The 18075-nt window shown below is 42.1% G+C and overlaps 1 long non-coding RNA gene across 1 annotated transcript in view, besides 1 other annotated feature; it reads right to left on the bottom strand.

Annotated features, from left to right (window-relative positions):
* The window catches only part of LOC105371240 (uncharacterized), a 124894-nt gene that overhangs the window by 51688 nt on the left and 55131 nt on the right, over positions 1 to 18075 (bottom strand). The window lies entirely within an intron of this gene.
* Positions 9003 to 9122: a silencer, noted in NCBI's record as "silent region_7458". NCBI's record gives its function as "represses an Ori minimal core promoter by ATAC-STARR-seq in GM12878 lymphoblastoid cells {active_cell/tissue: GM12878}" and the evidence as "EXISTENCE:reporter gene assay evidence [ECO:0000049][PMID:35858748]".

The following is an 18075-nucleotide window of genomic DNA, read 5'->3' as shown; positions in this document are numbered from 1 at the left end:
CATAACAGTGCTTCAGCATCCAATCTCCCAAGCCCAAGTCTCCTCCATCCCTGAAATTGGGTACCAATTTATTTGGAGGCATCCATCTGAGTAGGTATAAGCACTGGCTTGGGAATTAGATGTACATAGCTTCAAACCACAGCCCTGCCACTAGCTGTGTGGCCTTGGGTAGGTGACTTCACCTCTGTGAACCTCAATGTACTCATCAAGGTTGTTGTAAGAATTAAATTATATATATTTGACCTAACTATCCCATTACTGGGTATATACCCAAATGAATGTAAATCATTCTATTACAAAGATACATGCACACATATATTCATTGCAGCACTATTCATAATAGCAAAGACATGGAATCAACCCAAATGCCCATCAATTATAGACTAGATAAAGAAAATGTGGTACATATACACTATGGAATACTATGCAGCCATAGAAAGGAAGGAGATCATGTCCTTTCCAGGGACATGGATGAAGCTGGAAGCCATTATCCTCAGCAAACTAACACAGGAACAAAAAACCAAACACCACATGTTCTCATTTATAAGTGGGAGCTGAACAATGAGAACACATGGTCACGGGGAGGGGAATAACACACACTGGGGCCTGTTGGGGGGTGAAGTGAGGGGAGGGAGAGCATTAGGAAAAATAGCTAATGCATGCTGGGCTTAATACCTAGGTGATGGGTAGATAGGTGCAGCAAACCACCATAGCACACATTTACCTATGTAGCAAACCTGCACATCCTGCACATATACCCAGAAACTTAAAATTAAAATTAAAATTAATTTTTAAAAATGAATTAAATTTGACAACTCGTATAAAGCAAGATTTCTCAAACCGGGCATTATTGACATTTTGAGCTTATTTTTTGTTGGGGTCACAGGTAGCAGACTGTCCTATCCACTGTAGAATATTTAGCAGAATTCTGGGCCTCCACCTATTAGATGTCAATAGAACACCCTCCACATGCCATGTGAGAACCAAAAATGTCTGCATTTTTGTGAGAAACAAAAATGTCATATCTCCCCTGGGAGACAAAATCACTGAGAGTTAATAACCACTAGTAGTAAGTCTTTAACACAGGGCCTGGCAAGTTATTAAACTGCTATATACCTCAGTTTCCTTATCTGTAAAACAGGCATAATCAACTCATAGTTTGGTGAGAATATTAACCGACATAATATGTGTAAAGGGCTTAGCAGAATACCTTGCATATTACAAGTGCTTTTTTCAAAAAGCTATTTTTGTCATTAAAACTTAATGACCATTTGCAATTATTGCTATTTGTATTAGAGCCCTCCTTTAATCACTATTCTGAGTTTAATCCAATCACTCACCTAGTTTTCCCAGAGGACCTTACTATTCATACTGCATACCCAGTGCTAGAGCCCTTTTCCTAATCCCTAGCTACCTTGTGGCCTCCCAAATATCAAAATAAAAGCTCACCTTCCAAACTCAGTGTGGCTGGCTGTGTTGAGCACATCGTGGCCACATTCCACTGACCCTTGGAACATTTGGTTATTTCACCCGAGCCACCTAGAGCTGACAACCCCAGCTGGGTCAGAATATTAATAGTTGGTGATGGAGCTTTCAGAATACTGTGATTTGCCTGTCCTGTTGAACCTTCTCATTTGTAAGGCCTACATTGGGTGTCTTAGTCAGCTGTGGTCAAAATACTTTAAAGATATTGCAGTAAATGAGGTCAATGAAGCATTCGAGGATGCTGAGCTCTCCTTTACATTTTCCTAGGGGCCCAAAAATGAGATGTTTGCTCCCAATACGTCAAGAGAGACAGTGGTCAGTCATAAGAGTCACCAGTGAAAAAATGGTGGCCCCCTATCCTTGGAGATCTTTAAAAAGAACTGGGAAATCTATAGATCACCTTAGGTAGTATGGACATTTTAACAATACTGATTCTTCAATCCATGAACATGGAATATCTTTCAATTTTATAGTGTCCTCTTCAACAAAAATACAGTTAGAACAGTGTTCTGTAGCACAATAGGAGGGTTATAGTAAACAATAACTTACTGTAAATTTCAAAATAACTAAAAGAGCGGAATTGGGATATTCCTAACACAAAAAAAATGCTTGAGATGATGAATATCCCAATTGTTATGATTTATTATACATTATATGTTTGTATCAAGAATCACACATACCCCCTTAAATATATACTACTAATATACATCCATAATAAATAAAAATAAAATTTTTTTTTAAAAAATGGCTGGGTGTGGTGACTCAAGCCTGTAATACCAGCATTTTGGGAGGCAGATCATGAGGTCAAGAGATCGAGAACATCCTGGCCAACATGGTGAAACCCCATCTCTACTAAAAATAAAAAATTAACTGGGTGTGCTGACATGTGCCTCTAGTCCCAGCTACTAGGCAGGCTGAGGCAGGAGAATCGCTTAAACAAGGGAGGCAGAGGTTGCAAGTGAGCCAAGATCACACCACTGCACTCCAGCCTGGTGACAGAGCAAGACTTTGTCTCAAAAAATAAATAAATAAATAAATAATTTATCAGTGTTAGATTTCCATGTGCTAGGAGGAAGAGCTGGTACCACTGATTTCTGCAGGTCTTTCCCAATTCCAGATTTCTAAAGCAGCTTCTCCCAACCACCTTGCTTCCCCCTAGCCTCTGTGTTTGAGTAAAAGCACACTTCTAGTTATGCACCCTGCTCTGACACCCAGCCCATCTGCTACCTGGCCCATGCCTCAGATAATCCTTCTACCAAGTTGAATCCTCCCACCATGAGTAACTGCTACTATAGGAATTATATAGGAAGCACATACTTCTCAAATATGAGAAGATAGGAGCATAAGAATTACATACTTCTCAAAAATCAAGTTCCACGTTTGTTTTATACTATTTATTTTAATTTTTTCAGAGACAAGTTTTCACTGTGTCTCCCAGGCTGGTGTACAGTGGCACAATCATAGCTCACTGCAGCCTTGAACTCCTGGACTCAAGCAATCCGTCTGCCTTAGCCTCCGAAGTAGTTAGGACTATAGGCATATGCCACCATGCTCGGCTAATTTTTTTATTTTATAGAGATGGGGGTCTCCCTATGTTGCCCAGACTGGCCACAAGCGATCCTCCTGCCTTGGCCTCCCAAAGTGTTGGTATTAGAGGTGTGAGTCACCACCTCCAGCCTCCAGATTCATTTATTCAACCAAGCACATCTCCTAAGTGCTTAGGCTGTGTCTGGTGCCTTGCAGGCAACAGGGATCCCATGATTAACCTTCATCAATCTTGCCCCTCAAAGATTTCACGATCTGGTAGATTTAAAAGTTTCAGTTTACATGCCAGTTTATGTGAGTATGAGTCTACATATGTGTTTTTATTTTAATTATTCTTGGTGGAAACATTTCTAAGATTATTATAGAGGTCACCTCTTTTAAACAGAGCAGGCAGCTTAGCACAGTCTACCCTTTGCCTGGAGTTCCAAGGCTGTGATTGAGACTCCCAAATCTGCATGACCCTGTGAGGCAGAGCAACCCTCTACAGTCCTTATTGTGATTTTTGTCATATTCATATTGTTCCTGTCCCATCACCATCCTCTGCCACCCACCAGCAGCAAGATTCTTCCTGCTCTTAAGAGTCCACCATATTCAATAAGCGTTTGTAATACAGCAACAGCTTGAAAGTAATTCTTCCCCACCCTTCTGGCTCTCCAGACATGTCCAGGACACCTTCCTCCATTCATGAGCTCTTGAAAATGGGCACTATTATTATGCCCATTTTACAGATGAGGAAATTGAGTCTCAGATAGGTTAAGTTACTTGCCCTGAAGTCACAGTAGCAGAGCTGGAACTTATATCCAAACTGACTGACTCCCAAGATCAAATTCCTATTCACTCCACTATACTATTAGGAGTTTGTCACTTGTAGATGGGGGATGATCAGAGAGCTGCTTGACTCTATCCAAATCTGGACAGTTACAGGTTTTAAAACAGTCACAACTGGATAACCTACAGGTATTTTCTGAACACCTAGTGCTGTCAGAGATATGAAATAGCATGTCAAGGCCTTGAGAAGCTCATAGTCTAGTTGGGAATGTGGGCAGGAGACAGCAAGGGTACATCACCACCCAACCCATAGGAAGGTGCCAAAGAGTTCAGGATGGATGGCTCAGCATGGCTGGAAAACCTCTATTCAAAGTTCTGCTGTCCATGAAGGGTCCTGAATCAGAACCACCTGAATGAGGAGTGGGAAGTAATGAGTCACTTGTCATAAGGCTGTTCTAGCAGGGACAGGGGGTCAGAGGTGCTGAGCCATGCAGTGACAGGATATGTGGCTTCGACCATTCTTGCAGTTATTCAATAAATACTGAATGGAATACTCTGTACATGCAAGGCACTGTTCTCAGCACATTGAAGAAGACAGACAATGTCACTGCCCTCACAGAGCTTGTATTCTAGTGGGGGAGGCCTTACACAATTAAATAAACCAGACAATAAGAGGCAGTGAGAAGCAAATGGGAAAGGAGCTACTGCCGATTGGGAGGGGTAGAGGAATAGTCTTTCCAAAGAGGTGACATCTGAGTTAGGACATAAAAGGATGAGGAAGAGCCATGTAAAAGGAAGAGTGTGCCAAGCACATAGAAGAGTGTGTGAGAAGGTTCAGAGGTCCTTGTAAGGCTGATGTGGATGAAAGCTACCTTCCACCCACCAGGCTTTGCAGGTGGAGCTGTCCATGAAAAAGAAACACTGAAAAGAGAACTCAATTGAGAGTAATTAGGTAACTGTCTCCATGTGGCTTTGGGGTTAGGAGCTGAGAAGGGAAGAAAAATGGAAGGAAAGGGAAGCTCCAAATAGCCTGCTACAACCAAATGATTCTGAATATCTGATAATAAATATTCATATAATAATTGATGATGGTGATGATGATAAAAATGCTAAAAAGATCAGGCTGTCAGAGGGCAATGCTGCCCTTGGCAAAGATATGTGGCCTTTCTCAGACTCAAATAAAGGGCAAAGGATAGCACATCTCCTTCATTCTCTTTCTCCTGCCTGTGACATGCCTGAGAATCCCAGAGGTCATTCTCACTGCCCACAGGCATTCCTACTGGATCCCAAGTCCCTGCTGGGATCATAGCCATTATGATGCTCACAGGCTTCCCTGCCTCTAGAGATGGGTGCTGCAGTTGAGCCCTTGTGGCTAGTGGATGACACACCTGCTTCCCCCCACCACCACCCTGACTATGAGCATCTTGAGAACAGGACCAGGTCTTAGCCTTCGCTGTGGCCCCAGCACCTCCCCCGGGGCCTGGTGCATAGTAGATGTTCAGTAAGTATTGGCTGGAGAGAGAGAGGGAGGAGAAGATGGAGGAATTGAGAAATGGAGGAATAGAGGGATAGGGAAATACATCAATCACCTGTCTCCAGTCAAGGACAGGCATTTAGCAGCTGTTCAGAAAATAACTGATTGATTTTAATAGGCAAATGATAGGTCTTAATAAAATTCTCATTGTTGCTGAGCACAGTTGGGCTAGATTTTGAATAACAGTTTCTGTAAGACATTGATTCAGAATACCCCAGACCCCGGACCACCTCCTCTGACATTTTTATCAAATCAAAGGACATTGTGCTATATAGTGCAAAAAGCACACAGCCTAGAACTCTGCCACTTATCTGGTTTGTGATCGTGGGTATATTTCCTTAAGCCTCTGTTTCCTCTTATTAAAGAGTAGGGGAATGCAGAGAATTGCAGTAGGAATAAAAGGAATACTTTTTTGAAAGCAATTTGGGGTGTTTGTTTATTTTGTTTGTTTTTTTTCAAATCAAAATGAATGTATTGAGTACCTGCTGTATGTTCTTTCTGAGTGCTGGAAAGAAAGATAAAAGACAGTCCCTGGCCCAGAGGACCCCACAGTCTAGCAGTGAAGACAGACCCAGGAATGGGGATGTGATGGTTAATTTTATGTGGCAACTTGCCTGGACCACAGCACCCAGATATTTGATGAAGCATTATTCTGGATATTCCTGCGATGGTGTTTGGGATAAGATTAACATTTAAATCAGTGGACTCTGAGTGAAGCAGACAGCCATGTGGGTGGGCTTCATCCACTCCGTTGAAGTCCTGAATAGAACAAAGACGGACTTCCGCTACATAAGAAGGAATTCTGCCAGCAGACAGCCTTTGGACTCAAATTGAAACTCTTCCCTGCTTCCCTGGGTCTCCAGCCTACCCATCAGATTTTAAGCTCACCAAGTTTCCACAGTCACATGAGTCAATTCTTTCAAGTAAACCTTTCTGTATACACACATCTTGTTTCTGTTTCTCTGGAGAACCCTGACTAACACAGAGGACAATAACACAATAGTGAGTTGGATGCTCTAAGAAGGATCCTTAAGAATCCAGTGTCACGGAAAACCAAGGAGCAGTGATTAGCTCCATCTAGAAGGGTGTAAAGGAAGGCTTAGGATACTGGAGCTGGGACCTGAAGGCCAAGTTCATATTAAAAGATGAGAAAAGGGTCAGGCGTGGTGGTTCACACCTGTAATCCCAGCACATTGGGAGGCCAAGGAGGGCGGATCACCTGGGGTCAGAAGTTCAAGACCAGCCTGGGGAACATAGTGAAATCTGGTCTCCACAAAAAAAAAAAAAAATAGCCAGGCATGGTGGCACATGCCTGTAATCCCAGCTACTTGGGAGGCTGAGGCAGGAGAATCATTTGAACCCGGGAGATAGAGGTCGGAGTGAGCCAAGATTGTGCCACTGCACTCCAGCCTGGGCGACAAGAGCAAGACTCCATTTCAATATATATATATGAAAAGATCTTCCAAGCATCATTCAACAGGATCATGCTCACTCCCTCCATTTCCTTAGTAGTTATATGAACTTTAATCAGATTCTCTTTCTCTTGAAAATTCTCTTCTCCAGGCTGTTCCAGCCTATTTTCTCGTTTGAGGACCTAGCTGTGTGACCTAGACAAATCCCCTAATGTCTGTGAGCCTCAGTTTACTCCTTGTTAAATGCCTATTCATGGAGTCCCGGAAGGCACTTTGCACATTTCCTATTCTGTATTGCACCTTATAATTCTGTATTATTTTTACAGTGTTCAGCAGGTTCATACCCTACGGAACATCAATGAGTTTCTTCTGACCTCTATCCAAGGAAGTAGGGAAACAGGTTTACCTTATAGCATGCACTATATAAATTAGCTGCAAAGAAAGACAAATATTTAACAAATTTAAATAATCAAATAATACTATATAAGATTGTGAACTCTTATATCCTAGAGTTTCATTACAAATGGAGACACTCCTGGGACTCTAGTGGCAAGGGGCAGGAGGAAAGAAGAGTTGGCATCTTGTGTTCCTCCAAGGACACAGTTGGATGCAGAGCCTCAATGTCTGAACCTGAAATTGGCCTCAGAGGGAGGACAGTTAGGCAGGCTGTTCTCTGAGATGGGAAAAGCATTAACTATGGAAGAATGGGGAGTCCTCTGCCCCACTCTCCCCACTATGCAAAAAAGCAAGAATTCATGAAGATGGCATCTGCTTGGCCACAGACCAGAATCATCCTGGGATACCTGGATGAGACAACCCTGCAGAAAGCCCCATGCAGTCATTACATCTGTAGAGCCCCATCACAGACTCCTGAGCGTCAGGGTGGTCCAATCAAGGGCATTAAATGGGAACTCCCCAGGGGCCTGATATAGGCCAGTCATTCAGGGGATAAACTTCTTTATCTGGGGCTCTTTACTTACCCCAGGACCTGCTGGGCCAAGGTTCTCTTTCAATAACCAGTTTTGTTGCTCAAGGATAAAGGGAGAATGCCCCATGGGCAGAAGAAACTAAATCCCTGAAGAATTCAATTGGCTGCTGCATCCACTGAGAAGATTAAAAATATACTGAGCACATACTGTTTCCCTCTTAGGAGGAGAAAGAAACTAACTAGACTACTCTAAGGATGTTCCTTAAGTCTCAGGCCAAATTAATGTCCAGACACACATTATTTGTGTGAATTGAAAAGATCTTATGTCTAGAGCCTCAAACTGGCAAACAAGAAAAACAAACCAAAAAGGAAAATGAAAAAGAGGGAAAGAAAAAAAAATAAGAGGGAAAGGCAAAGCATTCATAAAAGCATTCAGAACCCAAAGTGGTATCATGGCAAGATCAGGGGCCTTTTGAGTGTCTGAGACATGGGTTTGAATTTTAGTTCTACCCCCTTATTAGTTTTGTCATTTTATCTTTTCCTTTTTTCTCTTTGGCACAGTCTCGTTGTCTATCAAATCTAGTGATACCTACTTTTCAGGAACATTGTGAAGATTAAGATTACAGAAGAGATGATGTTGTTTGTTGGTTGAGTAGGCTTTCAACAAATAGTTTCGGTTACTGTCATTTCACCAGAAATGGCTCTTTATGTTCGAGTTAAAATGCATTGGATAATTGTTTTGTAATGGAAGCGGCAACAAAATTATAATCAAAGGAGCAACACAGCATGTGCCATGTAGAATTCTATGCTATGGTTTGGTTTAGAAGTCAACGTTTTCATCTTTATTTTATGCCTAATATAAAAATGCCTCAAGTTTATTTACCAACTAGACACTAATGTGCATTCTAAGGGAAATTACCCTCACCAGGATCTGACTCTGGCTATAAAATGTTAAATAACAAATCACTTAGTGAAAGAAAAATTTTTTTTGCTTTTAAATAAAGATGAGAGGGATAGTGGAATTCATAAAATAAGTCAGTCATATCTGTGCTTTGCTCTCTTCAACACATCACTAAAACAAGGGTCCTCCTGTCTCCATTTATCTTAAACTGAACTAAGGCTCCCAGCTCCTGCAAATGAGACCTCAAATGATCAATTACATCTTAGTGCACGAAGTCAAAGGGTAAATGTATTATTGCTCACCACAGGCCGACCCTAACCTCAGGATTAATGCCATAAACAAAAAAAAAGGAAAAATATAGTTAAGCCTGTGAAGGCACTGGCTTTGGTCTCCAAAAAATTACAAAAGGGAAATGATGACCCCTACCGTTAGGAACAAGAACAGACAGCCTGCTTTGGGAACCTGGAGAGGGCCGTGTGGAAGGAGGCGTGGTTATTGAGAGCCGCAAGGACACCGGCTCCCACAGTGGTGTGTTTTCCTGTTGAGGCCCCACTGGACAGGAGGCCCTGGCTTCCCCTTGAGGGATCTCTGCGGGAAGCAAAAAATTTATAAGCTCTCCGTTTAAAATATTTTTAATGTTTTAATTAAGAAGCTTGGGCTTGCTTTGGTAAATGTAACTTTTTTGCATTATATTTTATGCTTGAAATGACCACGCAATTTCTGATAAAGACTTGTTAATGATGATTTCTCCAAATTCCCAGTGGTCATCATCCATGGGAAAACTTGTATGCACAGGTAACAATGAAACATTTTTAATATTTTAACAATTCCAAAATTGTTGAAGTTATACTTAAAGGATCTAATAGCTCTTTGGCATGTGGAAATTTCTTGTAATAATGCAAAAGTTTTTCAAATTCAACCCAGCCTTTTAACATTAAGTATTTTCAAATAATGAGGAAACTATAATCTGCAAAACATGAATTGTTGGAGGTGTCATCCTGCAGCAAGCTTAGACACCACAGAGAGAGCTTGTCAGCCACAAGTGGACAGACAGCCAAGAACTATATTTCTATTTCAGGGCTTCTGCTTGGAGCTGTGCTTCACACTATCCCTGCCGAACCTCCTCAGTGCCACCCCATTCTTCCTATAATGACCACCTACCTCTTCCCTGCCCAGCCTACAACGCCCTCCATTGCCCACCCTATCCTGATGTCATCATCCATTCCTTTCCAGGCCCCTCACTGGCTGACTGACTTTCTCCATGGCTCTTTCCTGCCCCAGGACTTTCACACGAGCTGTTCATTACCTCTGCCCAGAACATTCCTCCCCTGTCTTCGCCTAGCTAACCCCTATTCACGTGTGTGTTCCTCAGGATGCCTTCTCTGATCACAACAAAGTCTCCCCATGCTCACGGTTTTGTATTTCAGTTTCCTCGTCTGTAAAAACGGAAATAAAATAGGTTTGTTTTGAGGAATAAATGAGATATGACACATTTAAGCACCTAGAACAGTACCTGGCTTGCAATGAATGTTCAATAAATCATCACTGCACTTTCACACTTTTCCTCTGTGGCCTGTATCACAACTATAAATAGATATTGATTTGCTTGTATTTGTTCCTCACTAGGCTGTAAACTCCATCAAGGCCAGAGAACATGTCTTTTTCTTTTTCCACCACTATATACCAAGGCCCAGCATAGTCCCTGGTGTCAATGTATATTTAGGGTTTTTATTGTTATGATTGTTGTTTTATGTGTATATTTTCATTTTCCTTCCAACATTTATTTCAGGTTCAAGGGGTACATGCGAAGATTTGTTACATGAGTAAATTGCATGTCATAGGGATTTAGTGTACATATTATTTCATCACCCGGGTAATGAGCTTAGTAACAAATAGGTGGTTTTATTGTTGTTGTTTTGCGGGGGGGCGGGTTTGGCTTGTTTTTTGTTTTTTGTGGGTTTTTTTTTTTTGAGACGGAGTTTCACTCTGTCACCCAGGCTGGAGTGTGGTGGGGTGATCTCGGTCACTGCAACCTCCACGTCCTGGGTTCAAGCGATTCCCCTGCCTCAGCCTCCCGGGTAGCTGAGATTACAGGCATGCACCACCATGCCAGGCTAATTTTTGTATTTTTATTAGAGACGGGGTTTCACCATGTTGGCCAGGCTGGCCTCGAACTCCTGACCTCAAGTGATCTGCCTGCCTCAGCCTTCCAAAGTGTTGGGATTACAGGCGTGAGCCACTGCGCCTGGCCCAAATAGGTGCTTTTTAAATCCTCACCCTCCTCCCAACCTCCACCCCCAAGCAGGCCCTGGCGTCTATGCAGTTGGTCATGGAAATTCTACACAGCAGAGAAACCGCATCAAGTAATTGGAGGGTGAATCTGAAAAAGCTTAAAATGCTGATGTAAAAATACATCAGACCCACTTCCTCTTGCTGTCACCACCTCCCTAGCTCCACCCTGCTATACTTCCTTCCCCTCCCTCCCTTTTATCCCTTGCTGTCCCTGAATCTGTTTTTCTGGCATTCCGTGTTTCTCTGCACTATTCCCATATATGAGCTGATACACAGTAAGTGCTCAATAAACTTTATTGAATAAATTCTGGGACAACTGAAGAGCTGGATGAAAGAGGGAGGATGGATAAGTAGGAGAATGAGAGGATGGATGGGGTACACACTCCCCCACTTAGCATGGAGGAAATTTCCTCTTGTGATTTCAAAAATCTACCCCCCCGCCAAAATCTCTACCCTGATGTTTGTTCCCCTAACCCAGTGAAAACAGAAGTGGTCCCTCTCCTTGAAGTTAATTTAAAACCTAAACATGAATCCAGTCTGATGGGCCCATGACACTTGAGGCTCTATCTGGGCAGCCTCTCCATTACTCCTAATGGCCAGCTTTGAAATGGAATTACTTCATTCTTCAAAGTAAAGTGCAGGGAGTTTTTCCCTCTCTGAACAGCAAGCACATACTGCAAAGACATTCTGCTTCTATAAATATGCTTTTCTAAATGTTAAAGGGTTAGAGCAATTTCTAAAGGTCTCTGCCTCGAAGGAGCCCTCCAATGATATTTAATTGAACTACTTTTGCTTTGAGAAGTGAGGAAACTAAAATGTAAGAAGTGGAAATGCTTCTTGGTTTTATGTCAAAACATAGGCTTCTAGAAAAAATAGTGGAAAATAATTTTCTGTTATTAAACTCAGGAAAATGAATGTAAACAGCTCAACCAAGGAGAGCAAAGTACAGGATTTTTGTAGGACAGTTGGAGGAAAAACTGTCTCCTTTAAAACTCTCATTTTAAACCCTTAACAACTGTTGAAGGCATTTGTGTTGATGAAAATCACTAAAAATCTCTCTCCTTCCTTTGGCATTCAAAATTGAGCATTCAATATAAACATGTCTGCAGCAAGTTTAAATATTAACTTCTTTCATGACATCCCATGGTGTTTCCAGAGCAAATTCCTCTGAACAGAAGAAACTAAATTTTGTAAAGGTTGAAAAAAGAGACAGATCACCTAAATGAAGCAAACTCTCTGGAAACACGCAAATGATCAACTTGCCATTTTGTATTTGTGAAAACATTTGAATGACAGTTGGCATATTTCAACCTAAGTCACATTAAGGAGCCAATAATTAAATCTTTGTTCCTACTCAATGTATTGATAATGTTGGTATAATTCTGAATTTGATGTGATGTTCTCTGAAGAGAAAAGGGACTGAGGACTGCTGAGTCAGCATTCACAGAATGCCAGAAAGAGAAGGTGAATGAGTTTGATTACTACACAGTTGCAACTGCTGTGCCCTGCAGAACCCCAGTGGACACTATGCATTTAGAGTACAATGTGTATGGTGCCATGGTGGCAGAATTGCGTAGTTGTGACTGTCTAAAATATTTACCATCTGTCTTTTTATAGAAAAAGTTTGCTAGGCCAGGTGTGGTGGCTTACGCTTGTAACCCCAGCACTTTGGGAAGCCAAGGCAGGAGGATCACTTGAGCCCAGGAATTCAAGACCAGCCTGGGCAACATAGCAAGGCTCTATCTCTACAAAAAAATTTAAAGATTAGCTGGGCATGGTGGTGCACACCTGTAGTCCCAGCTACTCAGGAGACTGAGATGAGAGGATCTCCTGAGCCAGGAGGCTGAGGCTGCAGTGATCCATGATTGTGCCACTGCACCTTAGCCTGGGTAACAGAGGGAGACTCTGCCTCAAAAAGAAAAGAGAAAAAAGAAAAGAAAAGAAGGGGAGGGGAGGGAAGGGTAGGGTTGAATTTACTGACCTCTGAATTATAAGGACACTGTGCTCTATAGGGCAAAGCTCGAGGAGAGGGGCTATGGCTTCTCTTGTCCTTTTTCCAGGCCTCTGTCTCCAGACCTGTAAGTTAAAGCTAAAACTTCCTACTCCTTATCTCTTAGAGTGCTGTGTGGGACATATTGGTTGAAGATTTTTTTCAATGAATTTTTGTATTTTTTCACTAAGAAACATACTGTGTAATTGAGAAAATGAAAAATATGTTTCCATTCTTTCCTTGATGCTTTCTATGCTATGAACTAAGAGTAAGTGATTCACTGAAAAAACAGTTCTGCAGTGAACAACCTGTGCATCTGTACTTTGCACACTTTGCAGTTATACTGTTGTCTTTTGTTAGGCTACCTAGCATGAAAATATTTCTCCAATTGAGTGGAACCCAAACCACAGGGAGGCAGCAGCCAAAATCTCACTATTGCAGCCAAAGGAGATGTGTATTTCCCCTTCTCCACTCCTTGCATCTGGTCCATGCTCAAAGTAAGCCAAACCAGTGCTCTTGTGCAGAACCCTAAATCGAAAGGGGGTGACACATAAATCCAGGCACAATGGAGACTACCAAAGCCAGCAGTAGTGGAGATGACAATCCAGCAGTGGTGAGGGAGAACAGGACTATCATTATCACTACTTGAGGGTGCCTGGGTGTGGCTAGCAGCCCACACTCGACTCACCAAGCTCATACATCTAGCTTGTAGTGGCAAAGTGGGCACTTTTTTCTAATTCCCATAAATGAATAGCAGCAGTTCTGAGCTGAGGTTCAGGTAGAAGCACCTGCAGCCGGCATCTATTCCAGGGTCACTCCCTCAGTCGCTGCTCTCCAGCCTTCCTGCCGGTTCTGTGAGCTCTCTGTTATCCTTCCAGCGCGTCACTTTTCTGAAGTTTGAAAGAATCAGTTTCTGTTGTTTGCACACCTGTAAGAGCCCTGACTGCACAACCCTACTTGCCAGCCAATCCCACCTTGTTTGGTCACCTAAGGGGCCCTGGCAAAGACCAGACTTAACGGGGTGTGCAGAATTAGAAGAGAAAGAATATGTTGAATAAGACTATCGCTCCACTACCCACATAATAGAAATCAGTCTCCGCATACTAAATTTTTTAAACAGACAGGGATTAGAGGCCATCTATCCCAAACCCTTCATTTGTGGATGAAACCCAGAGGAAGCAGGTGAGTTGTTCAAGGTCACCCAGCTATATAATAGCAGCTTCTATAAGACCCGTTCTCTCAGCTTCTTAATTGCATTATTTATGTGGGCACCATGATGATGCGGCTGGAGTTAAACAAAAGAGAGGCATTAATTCAGCTCACCAAGCTGTGCCTAAATGCTCACAGGATGCTTTGCTAAAATCAATTTTGCCTTCAAACTTTAATCCTGGCCACATAACCCTGATTTATGAAATCTTAAAAACAAAGATGTGCGATTTAAACATTAAAAAAAAATTCAGATCTGCAGGATGGAGATGCCTCCTCTTGTGGTTACTGGAGTGAAGCACTGAGGCTTCTGAAGTTGGACCCGGGACATGCATGGGTGAGAGGCAGCAGTGAACCGCCACCAGGAGAGACTTACATGTCCATCTCTCCTAGAATGAAACTGAGTTTTCATCTTGTAAATGCTACAGATGATGCAGAAGTGGAGCCATGATGGAAAACAGAAGTGCCTAATTCAAGTTGTTTTGTTTCAGTGAATCACTTAATCTTTGTTCATAACATAGAGAGCATCAAGGCAAAAATGAAGACATATTTTCCACTTTCTCAATTATATGGTATGTTTTTTAGTGAAAAAAAAATTCATTCGAAAAAATGTTCAACCAATATGCCACACACAGTACTTTAAGACATAAAGAATAGGAAATTTTAGCTCCAACATATAGATCTACAAATAAAGCATTAGAAGCCACAGCCCCTCTCCTCAGGCTTCATTCCATAGACCACAGTGTACTTACAATCCAGAGGTCAGCAAACTTTTTCTATAAGGAGACAGATGATAAATATTTTAGGCAGCTGCAATTACTCAACTCTGCCATGGTGGCAGTATGTAAACAAATAGGAGTAAAAGTGTTCCAATAAAACTTTATTTAAAAAAACAGATTGTGGGCCACAGTTTGCCCAGCCCTCTATAGTTGATCAGAGTGCACAGTCCTAATCCTCTAACACCCACACATTCTATCATCACAGACTAAACTCAGCCTTGAGCAACTTTCAATTGGTAATATCATATCTCAGATCCAGAGGTGGTAATTACTGCCATAAGAGGCAACATCTCGTTTTTCATAAATTGTTACAGAAGGGTAAACCTTTCCAACACATCCAAGAAAATCTTTACTTACCAGGAGGACAAAACCTCCCTCACTGCCCCCTGGGTTCCACCGTGTAACAGTTCTCAGAATTAGTAGGCAACCACTCATCATCTTTGCAAGCATTTTTGCCTGAAAAGCCAGGCAGTAGTCTCACACTGACAACACGAGAATAACTTGTCATTCTGGTAATGGTCTAACTGCATATAAGTGTCTGTCATAATGAAAATTAGTCTCTTCCGTTTCAATTTATTCTGTCAACAATCCAAATGAAGCCCGAATATATCTTCCAACACCATTTCACACAGACCAAATAGGAAAGAGAACTTTAAAATGAACCTCATCATCATATGACTAAATATTTACATTAAAAAAGATTCTCTCTTCTGGAATACATCCCAGCTTTACTGTTCTCCCCTGCCAGTACACCTGCAGCTTTTTGTAACTAATTAAGGAACTCCAGAAAACACATTCAAAAAGGCCCCCGAAAACAGATGCACTCTCCATTAATTAAACAAGCCAGAGCAATCACCCAGGCTTGTAATTGGAAAATGTGCTTCTTTCCTGCATTTTAAGGCAATCACATTTATTTGCAAATGTTTTTGATGGTTTCTCAAAAGAGAAAGCTGGCTAGCAGCAGGCTCTGGCTCTCTCTAGCAGGCAAGGCAGATGTTTGGGAAAGGTTGGAGGTATGAGGCAAAGTCACCCAGGTTCTCTAATTAGTTCTTCTCCCTCCAGAAGACTGTGCTAATGAGATAAGGAAGTTTAAGTGCTAACAAAAGAAAGAAAGCCTGCTAAGGCTACTTAACAGTACAAAGATGGTCCCATGTCATATACTCTTTAGGGCTCTAATTGGGGTATGCATTGATGTAAGTGTGTGCAGAGTTAGCCTCCTCTTAGCTGAGCTTACATGGTCTGCAGAGCCAGCATTGGGAGCAGAAGGAAGGTGGAGAAAGCCATCGGTGGGCGGATTAAGAAAACACAATAGCCTGGAGTCTCTCCTATATTCTTGTCCTCGGGTTCCAAGCGGTGTTTTGGGGAAACCCAGTCTTTTTTAATATACTTTAAGTTCTAGGGTACATTGTGCAGAATGTGCAGGTTTGTTACATAGGTATACACATGCCATGGTGGCTTGCTGCACCCAGCAACCCATCATCTACATTAGGTATTTCTCCTAATGCTATCCCTCCCCTGGCCCCCCACCCCCGACAGGCCTGGGTGTGTGATGTTCCCCTCCCTGTGTCCATGTGTTTTCATTGTTCCCCTTCCACTTATGAGTGAGAACATGTGGTGTTTGGAAACCCCAGTCTTAAGTAAAATTCTCTTATGGTAGGGTTACCCTAGTACATCAGCATCCTGATTAGGGATTTCAGATGCCATGCCTCCAACAGGTAAGCTTATTAAACAATTGCTTCTCAGGAACATGCCTACTCGTCTATACTTCCTTCTGTGATGTGGGGCTGAGACTCTGCAAATGAATTCCTTCTTTGCCAGATAGCTTCCTGTTAGGAGCCACTGATGTGGAGGACACTTGAGGGAGATTGGAAAGCTGGAGGAGGGAAAAATAACTTGCTCTTTTCTGTTTTGCACTGTCCTGTTGGCATCACTCTGGTGATGGCCCTCCACTGCAGCAGCAACATGTAACAGCACCAGCTGGCAGCATACCCTTCTGAGTTCTCAGTCCCACTTCCATAGGGCCCATCCTCCAAGAATCTAGGTTCCAAAAACCCCATCTTTGTAACTTTGTTTCTCAAGCCCTGTCTTAGTCTAATCAGGCTGCTATAACAAAGTATCTTAGACTGGGTAATTAAGAAATAATACAAATTTATTTATTACAGCTCTGGAGGCTGAGAAGTCCAAGATCAAGGTGCTGGCTGATTTGGTGTCTGGTGAGGGCTCACTCTCTGCTTCCAAGATGGCGTCTTGTTGCTGTGTCTTCTGGAGGGAACAAACACTGTGCCTTCACATGGCAGAAGGGACAGAAAGGCAAAACAGGGATGAACTCTCTCCCTGAAGCCCTTTTATAAGGGCACTAATCCCATCTCTAAGGGTGGAACCCTCATGACCTAATCATCCCCTAAGGGCCCCACCTCAGTATCATCAATTTGGGAGTTAAGTTCCAACATATGAATTTTGGAAGGACACATACATTTAAACCATAGCAAGCACTAAGGGTACTGCATTTTGATACCTTTGTGTTTCCTTTTTGCCTTTAGGTCCCTTTGAAAGAGATAATTTAATTTAGAGAAAACTAATACAACCTTTTTTCCCTGACTTGACTCTGACTGATCCAATATTTAATATCAGGAGTGATCCCAGAAAATGGTCTTCAGATAGCATTCTGGGATTGCTTTTGTCATGATCTTGGCCTTAAATGCAGTTGTGGAGTGTTTGAGAAATGGGATGTTAGTAGTAGCAACCCATAGTAGGCAGTGGCATCATAATTAATAAAATTATCACCCACAATTGATCATGATAGATTGCCTACTGAAGCAATTGCCTTGGGGACCAAGTGGCTGCTGCACTTGACTGTTAAAGGTATGACAACGACTTCAAGGACCATATAGTGGGACAGCTATATCTACCTGAACTGAAGAGATTAAGAAAATCAACAAATTCAAGGCTTTAATGCTCACCTTAAGTCATGGTCAGAGAACCAGAGAGCTTTAATTATTATTTCTTATAACTGCAGATACTATCTCAACAAAAACCGAATGCAAAACCTAATTGTGAGTTACTGAATCACAACTTAAGTTGAATTGTCAGACCACCAAGTCTCATATGTTAAGGCATTGATTAGGAAAGAGTGGGACCCTGGATATAAAATAAGGATATATGGGTGGACTCAGATGATGCTAAAAACCCTAAGCCCCTGTCTTTCTGAGTCTCTTTTTCATAGAAAGGAGGAGCA

The sequence above is a fragment of the Homo sapiens genome, chromosome 16, assembly GCF_000001405.40.
Source record: "Homo sapiens chromosome 16, GRCh38.p14 Primary Assembly".
Lineage (NCBI taxonomy): Eukaryota > Metazoa > Chordata > Mammalia > Primates > Hominidae > Homo > Homo sapiens.
The sequence above is the reverse complement of the archived record's forward strand: the minus strand, read 5'-3'. Positions and strand labels throughout refer to the sequence as shown.